Source organism: Homo sapiens, chromosome 20 (assembly GCF_000001405.40).
Source record: "Homo sapiens chromosome 20, GRCh38.p14 Primary Assembly".
Taxonomy (NCBI): Eukaryota; Metazoa; Chordata; class Mammalia; order Primates; family Hominidae; genus Homo; species Homo sapiens.
In genome coordinates this window covers 24,734,298-24,747,026 of record NC_000020.11, presented here as the reverse complement: position 1 = coordinate 24,747,026, position 12,729 = coordinate 24,734,298, and the positions used below count along the sequence as shown (strand labels likewise).

Below are 12,729 nucleotides of genomic sequence, written 5' to 3'. Positions count from 1 at the left end.
ACACAGATCCTAGGGAGGCAGCTGAGGACTAAAATCATTGACTAGAAAGATGAGAGAAAGAGGGCTGGTCTTTTCCACACCATTTATTTGATTCTTGCTTGCACCCACCATTTATTTATCACCGCAGCTGTTTTCTGGCCCTCGCCACATACATGTGTGGTTGCCCTCACATCTCCATCTGTGAAATTTATCCACGACCTTATTAAAAAGAAACTTAAATCAGGATCAACAAATTTCAGTTCATTTTAATGCTAATTTGTTAAAAAGAAAGGGAATCTTAGCTGTGGCTACGTTGGGAGTTGAGTCCGAGAGCTTGGACCCGGAGTTCAACGGTGAGGTGTTCAGAGCCGTGGCCATGGCCTGCAGAGCCCTGCTCTGGAGCACAACCTCCCCGGGACTGTGCAGGTGGGAGAAGGAGCAAGGCGGAGTTTCCTCGCCCTCCTGCGGTTTGGCCCTGGGCCAGGGTCTGCAATGCAGGTTGGGGAATCCTCACTGCCCAGGAGCCCTGAACAAAAGGAACCTGGGAGGCTGGGGCGTGGCACGGGCTGGCATGGGAAAAGCGCTGAGTCAGACTGTGGAATACGCCTTAGCCAACGCCCCCGGTGAGGAGGCCTGGAGGGAGGTGCCTGGGTGAGGACTGCAGATGCCTACAGGATCGTGGCTGAGTCCTTGACTCCCTGCAGAGACTTCCTGGCATGGGCTTGGCACAGGTCTGGGGGGGGGGAAGGCAGCTTTCCCTGTTGGGCCTGCCGGGCAAAGGCTTGTCAGTGCCTGGGGCCCCCTCCTGAAGGATCACACGTAGGACTGTGGCTGGGAGTGGCCTCCTCAGTCTCCACCCCAGCCTTGGGCCCGATGACTGTGGCTAGTGCACTGGAGGTAGACACCACCTGGCCCCCAAGAATGGCTGGTGAACCCTGACCTTCCCGTAAAGGACCACGTAGGCACGGTAGGACTGCAGGCTGCCTCTCTGTTGCCAAACACCATCTAGGAGGAGCTGGAGGGTTTCCATTCCCATCCGACTGTGGGACCGGTCTTCTTTGCTTCAGTTCCATGTTTCTCAGAGCTGTGACCCACGTCAGCAGTTTTGCCAGCTCTCCTGTAAAACTCTTGGTTTTGTTTTCCTTAGTCTTTAATCTCATGCCAGGGTCTCAAGCCTGGTGCACAATAGAATCACCGGGAGCCTTAAACGATATTGACAGCCAGGTCCCTGCCCTGGAGGTCCTGGAGTGAGTCTCTGCATGCATCCCCCAGGGGATTGGAACGTACAGCCAGGTGGTGCCACTGCCCCAAAGAAAAGGCACATTCGCCACCAGGTTTCAGAGCCAGCTCTAAAGGGGACTGAACACGTGTAAAAGTAGCCCTTTCTGGGGATTTGAGGCATAAACCAGTTGTTTCCTTGGCCAAGAGCAGGGTGAAAACCAGGAGGAATATGCACTGAATAGGACTTGCTAAGAGGCTTTGAAAACCTGGACAGGCTCTTCAGGATCTCCGGACGTCCTGTGTATCCCACCCACAGGGCCTGGCATGCGCTTGGCTGGCACCAAGTTCTTCATAATGAGAGGCAAATGGTTAGAAAGATAAAGCAAAATAAGCTTGCAAAGAAAAATAAAAGCAATGAAGAAACAAAGGTGGCCACGCTGGGGCCTTTGCAGATGCTGGAATAGCGGGCACTTTGGTTTAAAACAGCAATTTTTCAGCTTCAGTGCCCACAGAGTCTGCTGGAGGGCGTGTTCAGAGGCTGCAGTCCTCACCCCCAGAGATGCTGACTTCCTGAGTCCAGGGAGGGGTCTGACATCCTGCATTTCCAACAAGTTTTCAGACAATGTCAATGTTTCTGGGGGTCTTCGGGCAATGCGTTAACACTGGTCAAATGACCAAGATAAAGCAACTTCAGAGAAAATCAGTGAGAAAACAGAAAAGAAACAAAGGTACTTTTGGCTAAAACCCACCATATGGAATATTAGATTCCTTTGATTCTAATTCCCCTGCACCTGGGCCCTGATTGCAGCAGAAGTTTGCTATATTCAGGCATTGGCACTGGCTATGACTGAAACCCAGGGTTTCTGGGTGGGTCCCAGTATGCAAATTCAAGGCAATCTATAATTTTCTCTAATCTAGGAAGTGCTGTGCGAATGCTGCCTGCTTTCCTCCTGGCCAGAGCTGGTGCTTAAGGTCTGAGAACCTGGCAGCCTAGACTAAGGTCGCACCTGAGATTTCCCCAGATAAATGATCTCCTGCGCTGGTGTGGTCCTAGGCTGCCTTGGAGCTCACACAGCCCCATGGCGCTCAAGGATTGCAACCCACAGGGATTCATCAAATGCTTAACTGTGGCCAACTTCAGTGTTCCCAACCTGTACCCTGGGCAAGACTCTTGGAGGAAATATTAGTAAGAATGGCCTGAAAAAGTCTGGAAAAGTTGTACATGGCATCATCGTCTTGCGGTTTAGCAATTTAAAGGCCCTGAGAAGTCCTGTAGTGAAGAAACTTGCTTAACATATGGAAATGGATGCCTTCCATAACTTGTTTGAGCATGAACCATGTTCTGAGCATTTCTTTTTTTCTTTTTTCTTTTTTTCTGAGACGGAGTCTCACTCTGTCACCCAGACTGGATTGCAGTGGCGTGATCTCGGCTCATTGCAAGCTCCGCCTCCCGGGTTCACGCCATTCTCCTGCCTTAGCCTCCCGAGTAGCTGGGACTACAGGCACCCGCCACCGCGCCTGGCTAATTTTTTGTATTTTTTAATAGAGACAGGGTTCCACCGTGTTAGCCGGAATGGTCTCGATCTCCTGACCTCATGATCCACTCGCCTCGGCCTCCCAAAGTGCTACTATTGGGATCTCAAGGAACTCACTCTTCATGAGATAGCAGTGTGGGAGATGTACACAGATCCCACAGCCCAGGAGGAGGGGAAAGAGGATATCGAGTCTTCCCGGTCTCAGAGAGCAGATCCTCAGTGTTCTGTGAGGCCCCACAGAGTCAAAGCCTCCTAGAGGACGCAGGCAGGCAAACAGGTGTCTCCTGGGTGAGGGACCCTGTCCGTGCCCAGTTCCCAAGACACACTTGCTCCCTTGTTATTCACAGACGCCCTCCTTTATCCACAGGGATTTAGACCTGCTTCTCTGTGGAGTATCAAAGATTCAAAATACCCACCATGTGGCCTCAACTCCGGGTCTTGTGGCTTGCTGCCTGGGAGAGTTGGCATTAAAACCAAATGAGGTAATGAGTTCAAAGCTGCATGGCTCAAAGCAAGCATCAGGATCACCTGGGAGCTTGTGGTCCACACAGAATCCCAGGCTTGCTCCAGACCTGCTGAGCCAGAACCTGTCCTGGAGTGAGACTCCCAGGAGTGTAGAGGCACATTCGAGTTTGAAAAGGCACTGTTTTGCAAGTAAATAGAAATTAAAATAAAAGTGATATGTTAAAGGGTTGATTCGCAATCCTGGCTGCACTTTGGAATCACCCAGGGAGCTTTAAAAATCCTCAACTGCCCTGCCCCCAATTCTAATTTAATTGGAATGGAAGTAATCTGGACTAGGGGAGTTTAAAAGCTCTGTGGGTGATTGTAATGTGCAGCAAACAGCTTTAAAGGTATTAGGGTCTTCAGCGCATAGAGGTGGTGGTGGGGGGGTGGTGTCCCAGTACCTGGTATGGTGCCTGGCCTGTGGCGGGCACAAAACTGTTCATGGAAGAACCACCTCACTGCTGCATGGAGTGCATTCGAGGACTCTGAATCACATGGAGGATGGGCAGGAGGTCCCGCTGAGATCTGGATGGATGGAGGACAGAGAAACATGCAGAAACACTTCATCCCACTGTGAGAGTGTGGTCCAATGCCAGGGTCCCAGTGGTGGAGGCAGCCTGATGGTCACACTGCCTTTCAGGTGGCCTCCTGGTCTCCAGCAGCCCATGGCATGCACAGCCCACCCTGCGATGCTGAACTGGTGGGTGCGGTGGAGCCAAGGCCATTGTAATAGGTGGTTATTATTTTGAGTTTTTTTTTTTAAATCTGATAGACTGTAACCCAGTTATAGATGAATGAGAGGCCATGGTTTCAGGACAGGATACCAAGCGCCATCAGGTCTACAAGGAGCCACCTGTGCCCTGTGAAGGGTGTGAGCACCATCAGGTCCACAAGCAGCCACCTGTGCCCTTTGAAGGGTGGGAGCGGAATGCCTTGGAGTTCTCAGGAACAGGGGACCCCTCCTCCAAGGTGGCTGCTTCTAGGAACACTCTCCACGCTGTGCTGTGTGTCTGTGTGAGCTGATGGGCTGGGGGCATGGGTGGGGCAGGCAGCTGGAGATAGAGCCCTGGGCAGGTCTTGCCACAGGCTGCCTACCCATCCCCAGCTCTCAGGCCTGAGTGACTTTTTAAAAGTAAAAGGACAGCAGCCACAGACACCTTGCGATGGGCCATCAGCCTTCAGCCAGCCTCGGAGGCTGCAGCAGCAGAACTGGGAAGCGGAAGGGGTGAGCGACTCCACCTCGGGGCAGGGTGCCCTGCCAAAGTCTCCCTCTGAGAAGCGCCTTCAAGTGCCTTCTCTTTGATAAAAGACTATAAGGTTGGCAGAAAACCAAAATACATTTTCTCCTTCAAATACGTCTGAGGCTCATGGCCAATAAGTCCCAGGTCCCTGTCAGGCTGGTGAGCATGTGCATGGAACTGGCTGTGGTCAGGGCTGGGGAGGCAAGGCCCCTCGGTGGGTGCATGGAGCCCACCCTTCCAACTTGCTGCCCTGCGATGGCAGCCCCTGCTGTGCCTGGAGGAAGGTCATCCCAGGAAGCTGCCATGGGAAAGGGCTGGGAGGGGCAGACGTGGGGTCTGAGGGGACGCTGGTGATTGACTCCTAGCCACAGATGCTGTTGGCATCTTGCTTCCTGGAGACTGAGGGTTCTGATCTTGCCGAGCCAACCCCTTGCTGGTGCCCTCTTGACCTCCTCCTCTGGGCAAGTCCAGGCTGGGGCCGCAGGCTGCTCACCCTCTGCAGGTGAAGGCTACCCTCTCTTATTGATGTCATTCCCCAAATGTTGTCCTTTCTCTGCTCTTTTCAGAAATGGAGAGGCTGGGGTTGCCGATGGGGCAAAGAGGAGACAAAACAGGTGGAGAGAGACGCCCGGGCCTGCCAACCATGAGGTAAAGAGGCTGGAACCGCACAGCTCCTGCCTGGGTGCCTCGGTGGGATCTGTGTCCCCCACAGCCCACTGGGCATGGACTCCAGGGAGGGGCAGAGTGGCCGGCCCCTCTCTCAGGCTCTGCCTCCCTGGCCTTTGCTCGCATGAGCCACCTTCTGTTGTCCCTGGGACACTACCTCTCACAACCACAGTGGCCTACTTCTGAGCCCACATCAAGTAACGTGCACAAATGAAAAGAACGTTCTCAAGCTTGGGAATTTATTTCTGTGAATACAGACCGAAGCTGTGATCTTATGTAGGCTGGTTACAGAAGGCTAGACAATAAAATCAGAGGAGAGTCAGAAGTGCCAGTAAAATAGTGAGATGTCAAGGCTAAGTTACCACTGTTCACAGATCACATGACTGTGTGCTTGGAATACCCAGGAGAACTGGCTGAACCTATGGAAAACAATAACTCAGGTAGGAAAATTATTATGCATAACCAATAACTTTTCTATGTACAAATAACTTGTTAAAATATTATGAAAAAAGGCCGGGTTCTGCGGCTCGCACCTATAATCCCAGCACTTTGAGAGGTCAAGGTGGGCGAATCACTTGAGTCCAAGAGTTCAAGACTAGCCTAGGCAACATGGCAAACCCTGCTTCTACAAAAAATATGAAAAATTGGCCAGGCATAGAGGTGTGCACCTGTAGTCCTAGCTACCTGGGAGTCTGAGGCAGGAGAATCACTTGAGACAAGAGCGGGTGGTTGCAGTGAGCCAAGACTGAGCTGCTGCACTCCAGCCTGGGCAACACAGTGAGACCCTGTCAAAAAAAATAATGAAAAAATATTGCATTTAAGATAGCATTTAGTTGAGACAATAGCAAAATACAAACTTTAAAAGAAATATGTAGGACCTATATAAACAAAACCTGAAAATTCTGCTAAGGGATAAACTAAAACTGCGAGCGATAACTTGCTATTGGCTAGAATGCATCAATATTATGAAGGTGACCATTAACCCTAAATTACTCATAGGATCAGTGCAATCCCAGTTGAAACACTAACATGCTATGTGAAGGGAAATCGATGTGGGAAAATAAACAGGAAGAGTCAGGTGGAAGAAGGGAATTGGGGAGTAGTCCTGTGAAATGTCAAATGCACCGTGAAGGTTCAAGAATGAAAGCAGATGGACACGAAGGTTTGTGTGGAGCAGAAAGAGGCCCCAGGATATATACAAATGTATACTCAAATCGAGTGTGTATGATAGGAAGCATTTTAAATCAGAGGGCAAGAGAGGAAATATTGAATAAATGGCTTAGAGACAATGTGGTATTTGGAAAACCACACAGAATTCTGACCCACTGCCTTATTGTTCCAAAATAAGTTCCAGAGGTATCAGAGATGTGAGTGTACAAGAGTGAAATGAAAACATTCTGAAATTTAAAAGGTGAGTTTATTTATAGTTGTGAATGTGAAATGCCTTTCTAAGCAAGATATATATTTGAAAACTTTAATGGGAAATGTTGAGATATTTGACTAGAAATAAAAATCATCATCGAGGACACAAAAACCCACAATTAAAGAAAAAGTGAACAATTAACTGAAGAAAATATTTGAAACCCAAATGGGAAAAGGCTTGTAGGCTTCATTGAGCAACACGTTTTACAAAGAGTGCTCATCAGTCAGTAAGAAAAACATTTACAAACCCCACTGAAAAACAAGCCCACAGAAATATAAATGAAATTGGTTAATAAATACAGTTTTTAAAAGGCTTGCTCAATTTCTCTCAAAATTAAAGAAACATATAAAAAGAACAAAGAAATATAATTTCAAAGTAGCAAAATTAAAAATGCAATGGCACTCGTGGCTGCTGTGAGCATAGGGAAAAGGGTGCAATTGTAAATTGTCAACAGGAGTGTAAGTTGCAGAGGGCTGCTCTGGAAAGTTAATGGGCCATATCCATCAAAGTTAAAAAATGCAGCTACCCTTTGACTTAGCAGTACCCCTGCCAGGAATTGACCTGGTGGCTGTACTCATAAGTTAGCCAGGAAAAAGAAACACTTACAAATATTGTTGCAAGAATGAAACCAGAACAAAAAAATCAAATAATCTATCATTAAGAAACAGATTATTTAGATTATGACAATTCTACAGATGGAAAAACTACAATTTGTTCACTTGTGTTTATGTATACACTTCAGTAACAAGTTATTAACATACACAAAGAATGAAATGACCCTCTCTCTACCAATACAGAAACATTTCGAAGACATATGTTTAAGGGAATAACAAAAGGCAGAACAGTGTAAAAACAGAATAACAAATAAATAACTAACCCTATAAAATACCTGTGTTGGCATATGCACAGAAGCCTCTCTCAAAAGGACATCTAAGAAGTGATGAACCAGCCTAGAAAATAAGAGAAAGGCTTTCACTTTTTATTTGAAAATGTTCAGAACTCTTTGAAGTTTTGAGCCATGTGCAGTTTTACTTTCCTTTTTAACGTTCTTCTTTCTGCTTCCCTGGGGTGTAAGAGATTGCTTCAATCCTTCCCTGTGCGGTGTTGAGATGTAATCTTCTCTTGCTCTTGTCCTAAGTACCTTAAGACCCAGTTAGTGTCTCCATGTCCGGCCAACCACTGGGGCGGCATGGTTGTCTCTTGGGGAGCAATGTGAAGAGGCTGTGTCAGTAGCAAACATGCCCTCCCCTCGGTTTCTTCCCACAGTTAATGAAGACCTCCCCAATCGCCCTGGTTCAGTGGCTTTCCAATGCCAGCTTGCCTCAGAGTCCCGAGGGCCTGTGAACAGGTGTCACAGCTCCTTTAGAGTTTAGAGGTCTGGGAGGTGGGGACTGAGAGCTTCATATCCAAGAAGTTTCCAGGTAATGCCTTACTGGTCCTGGGACCCCACTTTGAGAACTGACCAGGTCAGCTGTCTAAAGTCAGATGCTGGGACTTTTCACTGTGTCTTAATCTGCTCCTGCTGCTGTATCAAAATACCCGAGACTGGGAGATTTATAAGCAGCAATGTATATTGCTCACAGTTTTGGAGTCTGGGAAGTCCAAGGTCAAGGCACCAGCAGATTCAGGGGCTGGTGAGGGCCTGTTCCTCCCAGATAGGGCCTTCCATGTGTCCTCACATGGTGGAAACACCAAAAGGGGCTAACAACCCCTTCAGTCCTCTTTTATAAGAGCACCAATCACACTCATGAGGGCTCCCCATCATGATCTAAGTACCTGCTAAAGGCCCCACCTCCTCACATCAGGACCTTGGTGATTAGGTTTCAGCATCTGGATTTGGAGGGACACAGACACACAAACATGCGACCACAGCACCCTGGCTTCCCAGCACACGGCTGATGCTTGATTTCCCACTGATGGGTGAATCCCTAGGCCCCTGTGCTGTTGTGGAAAGCAATGATGGTCCATGCAGTTCATCCTGCGTTGACCCTGCAGGCAGGAGGAGGGATGCAGGGACTACACCTCAGTGCCCTGAGGCTCTCACTTCCTGGCCTCACTCCTGGGGTCGGGAGGGCCAGTGTAGTGCACATGCACCCGCACCCCAGACCTAAGGTCTCTGTCCAAGTCCCCGCATCCATAGCACTGTGGGTCTGGCAGGTGCCCATGGCCTCTTACCATATGCTCCTTCTCAGAGTTCTTTCCTGAAGGGCTGGAGAGTCAGGCCCCAGGAAGCTGCCCTGAGCTGCAGACCTACTGGAGCTGCTGGATCCAGCCCAGGTGCCTGGCTCTCTGGAGAGGACACTCCAAGGCACAGACCCTGAGGCATAGACCTCAGGTCTCCCGAAGTTGACCCCAGGCTCGTGATCCCACTGGCCTCGGTGTTACTGATTTCCTCCTCCTGGGTTTTGACTTTGGTCCCTTCCTTGAGGCACTTCCCTTCCTTCCTCACTCCCTTCCAGGTCCTTCCTGGAATCCCCTCCCAGATAAACCAAATCCTTATCTCAGGGCCAGCTTCTGAGGCAGCCTCAGCAAGGACAAGGCCTCCTCCCAGCTCTCAGGCTGAGGACCCTCCTCTATCTTGGCTGGACGGTGCTACCCAGGTTCTTGGTGGGAGTCTCCTCAGGACCAACCGTGTTATCCTGGGGATCTGAGCTGGAGGCAGGTGAGAGGCACCTGCTGAGGATGCTGGTGCAGCAAACCCAGGGGCCCTGTTGCAGAGCACCCTCAGTCCATGCCGCCTGTGTCCAGGGAGTGATGAGGGGCTCCAGGGAAGTCAGGGGGCAGGACAGAGGCCTTGGTGCCTCCACAAGGAGGGTGGTGTTGCCTCGTCCACCAATGTTTGTCCTACACAGGGCCTGGCCACCAGTAGTACTCTCCCCAGGGGGTGTTTGCTGAACGCCTGGAAAGAAAAGTAGGAAAGGAAGGAGGGAAGCTTTTCATGGCTTCTGCTAAGACTTGTCAGTCATCTACTGACTCTCGAGAGCAGCTCTCGGCCCAGGGCAGAGTCGGTTCTGCAGCTCCAGGGACCCCGGAATCCCAGCCCTGCATATGGCAGCTTCCTCCTTCGTGCTCCAGTGTAAGGATGTGCTTCTACCTGCAGGGCTCAAAACCCTGTGCTCTCTCCTTCCTCGCCTCCCCTCCCCCACACTGGGAGCCTCCTCCTTGCCTGCTGGCTGCAGGAAGAAGAGGATCTTTAGGGGGAATTTTTGGGTAACTCAGGTGACTTTCCCACAAAAGTAGATGACAAGGTTGGAGAGTGGTAGCTCATTTGGGAGCTGATCTCAGGAAGCTCCAGCTGGGGTATGGGGAGTGGGAAGGAGCCAGGACAAAGCTGTGGGCAGCTAGGGTTCAGCCACGGGGAGAGGGATAGGTAATACCCCAGGGTCCTCCCAGCCCAAGGGCCAGGAACTGGGGCTATTCACCCTCCAATTCCCACTTGTAATCAGCTAAGGGATGCTTGTGAGGCCGACCCCACAATGCTGGGAAAGCCCTCAGGCAGATTCTCCAGGGGCTGCAGAGGGCCTGCGCAGTGCCTCGAGCCATGAGCCTGGGGAGTCACCAGGGCACCAGCAGAAACCACGGCTCCACCATTTGTATTAGAGGATTTGGAAATAGGTGACCAATGTATAACCCCTTGGAATTAATATGGAGCAGAGTCTATTTAAATTAGAAAAAGTGTATTTTCTGTCTTCTAGTTAATTGGACACTCAGGGAGTAGAGGACTGGAATAGAGCCATTGTGATCTGGATTTCTGTTTAATAAAACAAGCGCAAGCATGGCATTCTTCTAACCACCAGTATTTATCTTTCAAAGTCACTTGGCAGCACTAATATCTCTAACTGCTAAATGCATGTGGTTGCTGAAAATCTAAAATAATATATAATAACCTCTTTATTTAGAGCAGTAAGATAATTTATGCTATTAGAAACTTGGAGAAAATGAGCAATCTTTAAACACCTTGGTAAACAGAGATGGTACCGGACGTTTGAAGCACGGCAATTGCAGGAAGTCTTTTATTCATTTCAGAGGGGAGGAATCCCCCCTACCTCCCTGACTCAGCATCGTTTGCTGTTTGCTAAGAAACTCTTGGATGCTGTGGCATTGCTTCCTGGGAAGATAAGCCATGACCCTTACGGCAAGAGGCAAGTCTGGGTGGGCCTGGGTGTTCAGGGCCTTTTTCGCCCATACCACTGGCGTGTCCAAGGGACAAGTCACGTGTGGATTATTACAGAGTAAACAGTGCTTTATGCTTCATCAGTACAATCACATTCAGAATCACAAAAATGTACACACGTCAGGATCATAAGCCCTCTCCAATCTTTTTAAAAAATAAGTGGAAAAATAGTAATTGTGTAAGTTTGTGGGGGGTGTGCTGTGGTGGGGTGTGCATGCGTTTGCAGGTGCCTTAGCAGAGCCCCCTCCTCACTTGAGTATCGTGTGTGTGTGTGCGTGTGTGTGTGCATGTGTGTGTGCATGTGTGTATGTGTGGTGAGAACATTTAAAATCTACTCTTTTAGCAATTTAAAAATACATAATACATTTTTATTCGCTAAGGTTACCTGTCTGTGCACTAGATCAGTGAGACCGATTCCTCCTGCTTAACTGTGACTTAGTACCTTTTGCCCAACAGCTCCTCTTTCCGCCTCCACTCCCTCAGCCCGGCCCCTGGTAACCGCCATTCTCCTCCATCCTGTGAGTTCAATCTGTTTAGATTCCACATGTAATGAGATAATGTGGTATTTGTCTTTCTGTGTCTGGCTTATTTCACAGTGAATAAGGAAATTGTGGCCTATATACATGATTATTTCTATTTGCAGCAGCATGGATGAAGAGGGAAGCCATCACCTACATGAAAGAACCCATTCCCCCACCCCCAGTCTCTCCAAGGGGCAGTAGCTTGTGTGATTTAAATGGCTCCCAGGCTGTCCCTATCCCCTGGGGCACTGGATGAACTTGATTAAGCTAAGGATTACACTTGGCCATCTCACTGTAAAGCATGCATTCCTAAGCAGATAAGGAGAGACCTCAGACAGCTTGGCTCTAGGCTGTAGAGAGCCACCCGACGTGCCAGCTGGTGGAGGCAGAGCTGTCTGTTAGAAATGGAGCCTTGGTGATGGCCGCAGACATCATCGTGGCCCTCCCCGCTCCCTCACGACTTTTCTTCTTGGAAGTAACACGCTGGTGTCTTCCTTCCTCCCCAGGGAGTCAGGCTGAGTTATTAGGCTGGGGAGTGTTGGGAAGGAATTGGGCCTGCCTGACTCGGCCCTTCCTGCCTGTACTTTGGGGGAGTGCTTCTCTGCCAGAGCACCTGGTGAGCCTAGCGGACCCTGTGCCTGGGTGAGGGATTGGTTTCTCTGTGTCTTTTTGGGGCGGAGGGGTAAGAGATCACATGACATCTGCCTTCTCAACAATTTTTCCAGTTTTATTGAGATATAATTGACAAATAAGAATCGTATGTAAAATAATATTACATATGTACACACAGAAAATGGTGCGGCAAAATGTACACAATTGGTGAATGAGGGTAAAGGGTATGTAGGAGCTCTTTGTCCTAAATCCGCAAATTTTCGGTAAGTTTAAGACAATTTACATCTATGCCCTTTAGCTCCACTCACCAACCGTGTGCATTCCAGCCCAGTATAACTTTCTGTGTGCATAGGTAATGTCATTTTTTATCCCTAAATATTTCAACATATGGCCTGAGAGCAAGGGCCCTTCCTATCACATAGTCACAGTATAATAATCAAAACTCAGGAAACTTAGCATTAATACTACCATCTAATCATTCTTTGTCAGTTTTCTCAGAGATGCCAATGATCAGTCTTTCTGCCCTGTCTGGGGCCCATGCGTGCGTGGAGTGTTACCTTTGCTTGCCGCGTGGCTCTGTCCACTTTTCCTCTGGAGTGTGCCTTCTCAGCCTTCACTGTCCTTCGCCGCCTGGACACTTCTGAAGAGACCAGGCCAGTGGTTTGGACAGTGGCCCACATGAGCGGACTGAGGGGATGGGCCCATGGTAGGGACATCCCAAAGCCCAGCACGTGGGGGCAGGGGCGGCTCAGCATGTGGCGGGGGCGGCTCAGCATGTAGTGGCGGCAGCTCAGCATGTGGCCAGGGCAGCTCAGCAGGACAGTGCTGATGACCACATTACGTGGCTGTG

General features: G+C 49.5%; 5 annotated features.

The window, feature by feature from the left end:
* Positions 3,730–4,630: an enhancer, noted in NCBI's record as "H3K27ac-H3K4me1 hESC enhancer chr20:24723033-24723933 (GRCh37/hg19 assembly coordinates)". NCBI's record gives its function as "activates a minimal SCP1, AML or CMV promoter by ChIP-STARR-seq in naive H9 embryonic stem cells {active_cell/tissue: H9 hESC(naive)}" and the evidence as "EXISTENCE:reporter gene assay evidence [ECO:0000049][PMID:30033119]".
* Positions 7,624–7,673: an enhancer, noted in NCBI's record as "active region_17645". NCBI's record gives its function as "activates an Ori minimal core promoter by ATAC-STARR-seq in GM12878 lymphoblastoid cells {active_cell/tissue: GM12878}" and the evidence as "EXISTENCE:reporter gene assay evidence [ECO:0000049][PMID:35858748]".
* Positions 7,684–7,753: an enhancer, noted in NCBI's record as "active region_17644". NCBI's record gives its function as "activates an Ori minimal core promoter by ATAC-STARR-seq in GM12878 lymphoblastoid cells {active_cell/tissue: GM12878}" and the evidence as "EXISTENCE:reporter gene assay evidence [ECO:0000049][PMID:35858748]".
* Positions 8,900–9,726: an enhancer, noted in NCBI's record as "H3K4me1 hESC enhancer chr20:24717937-24718763 (GRCh37/hg19 assembly coordinates)". NCBI's record gives its function as "activates a minimal SCP1, AML or CMV promoter by ChIP-STARR-seq in primed H9 embryonic stem cells {active_cell/tissue: H9 hESC(primed)}" and the evidence as "EXISTENCE:reporter gene assay evidence [ECO:0000049][PMID:30033119]".
* Positions 11,336–12,242: an enhancer, noted in NCBI's record as "H3K4me1 hESC enhancer chr20:24715421-24716327 (GRCh37/hg19 assembly coordinates)". NCBI's record gives its function as "activates a minimal SCP1, AML or CMV promoter by ChIP-STARR-seq in naive H9 embryonic stem cells {active_cell/tissue: H9 hESC(naive)}" and the evidence as "EXISTENCE:reporter gene assay evidence [ECO:0000049][PMID:30033119]".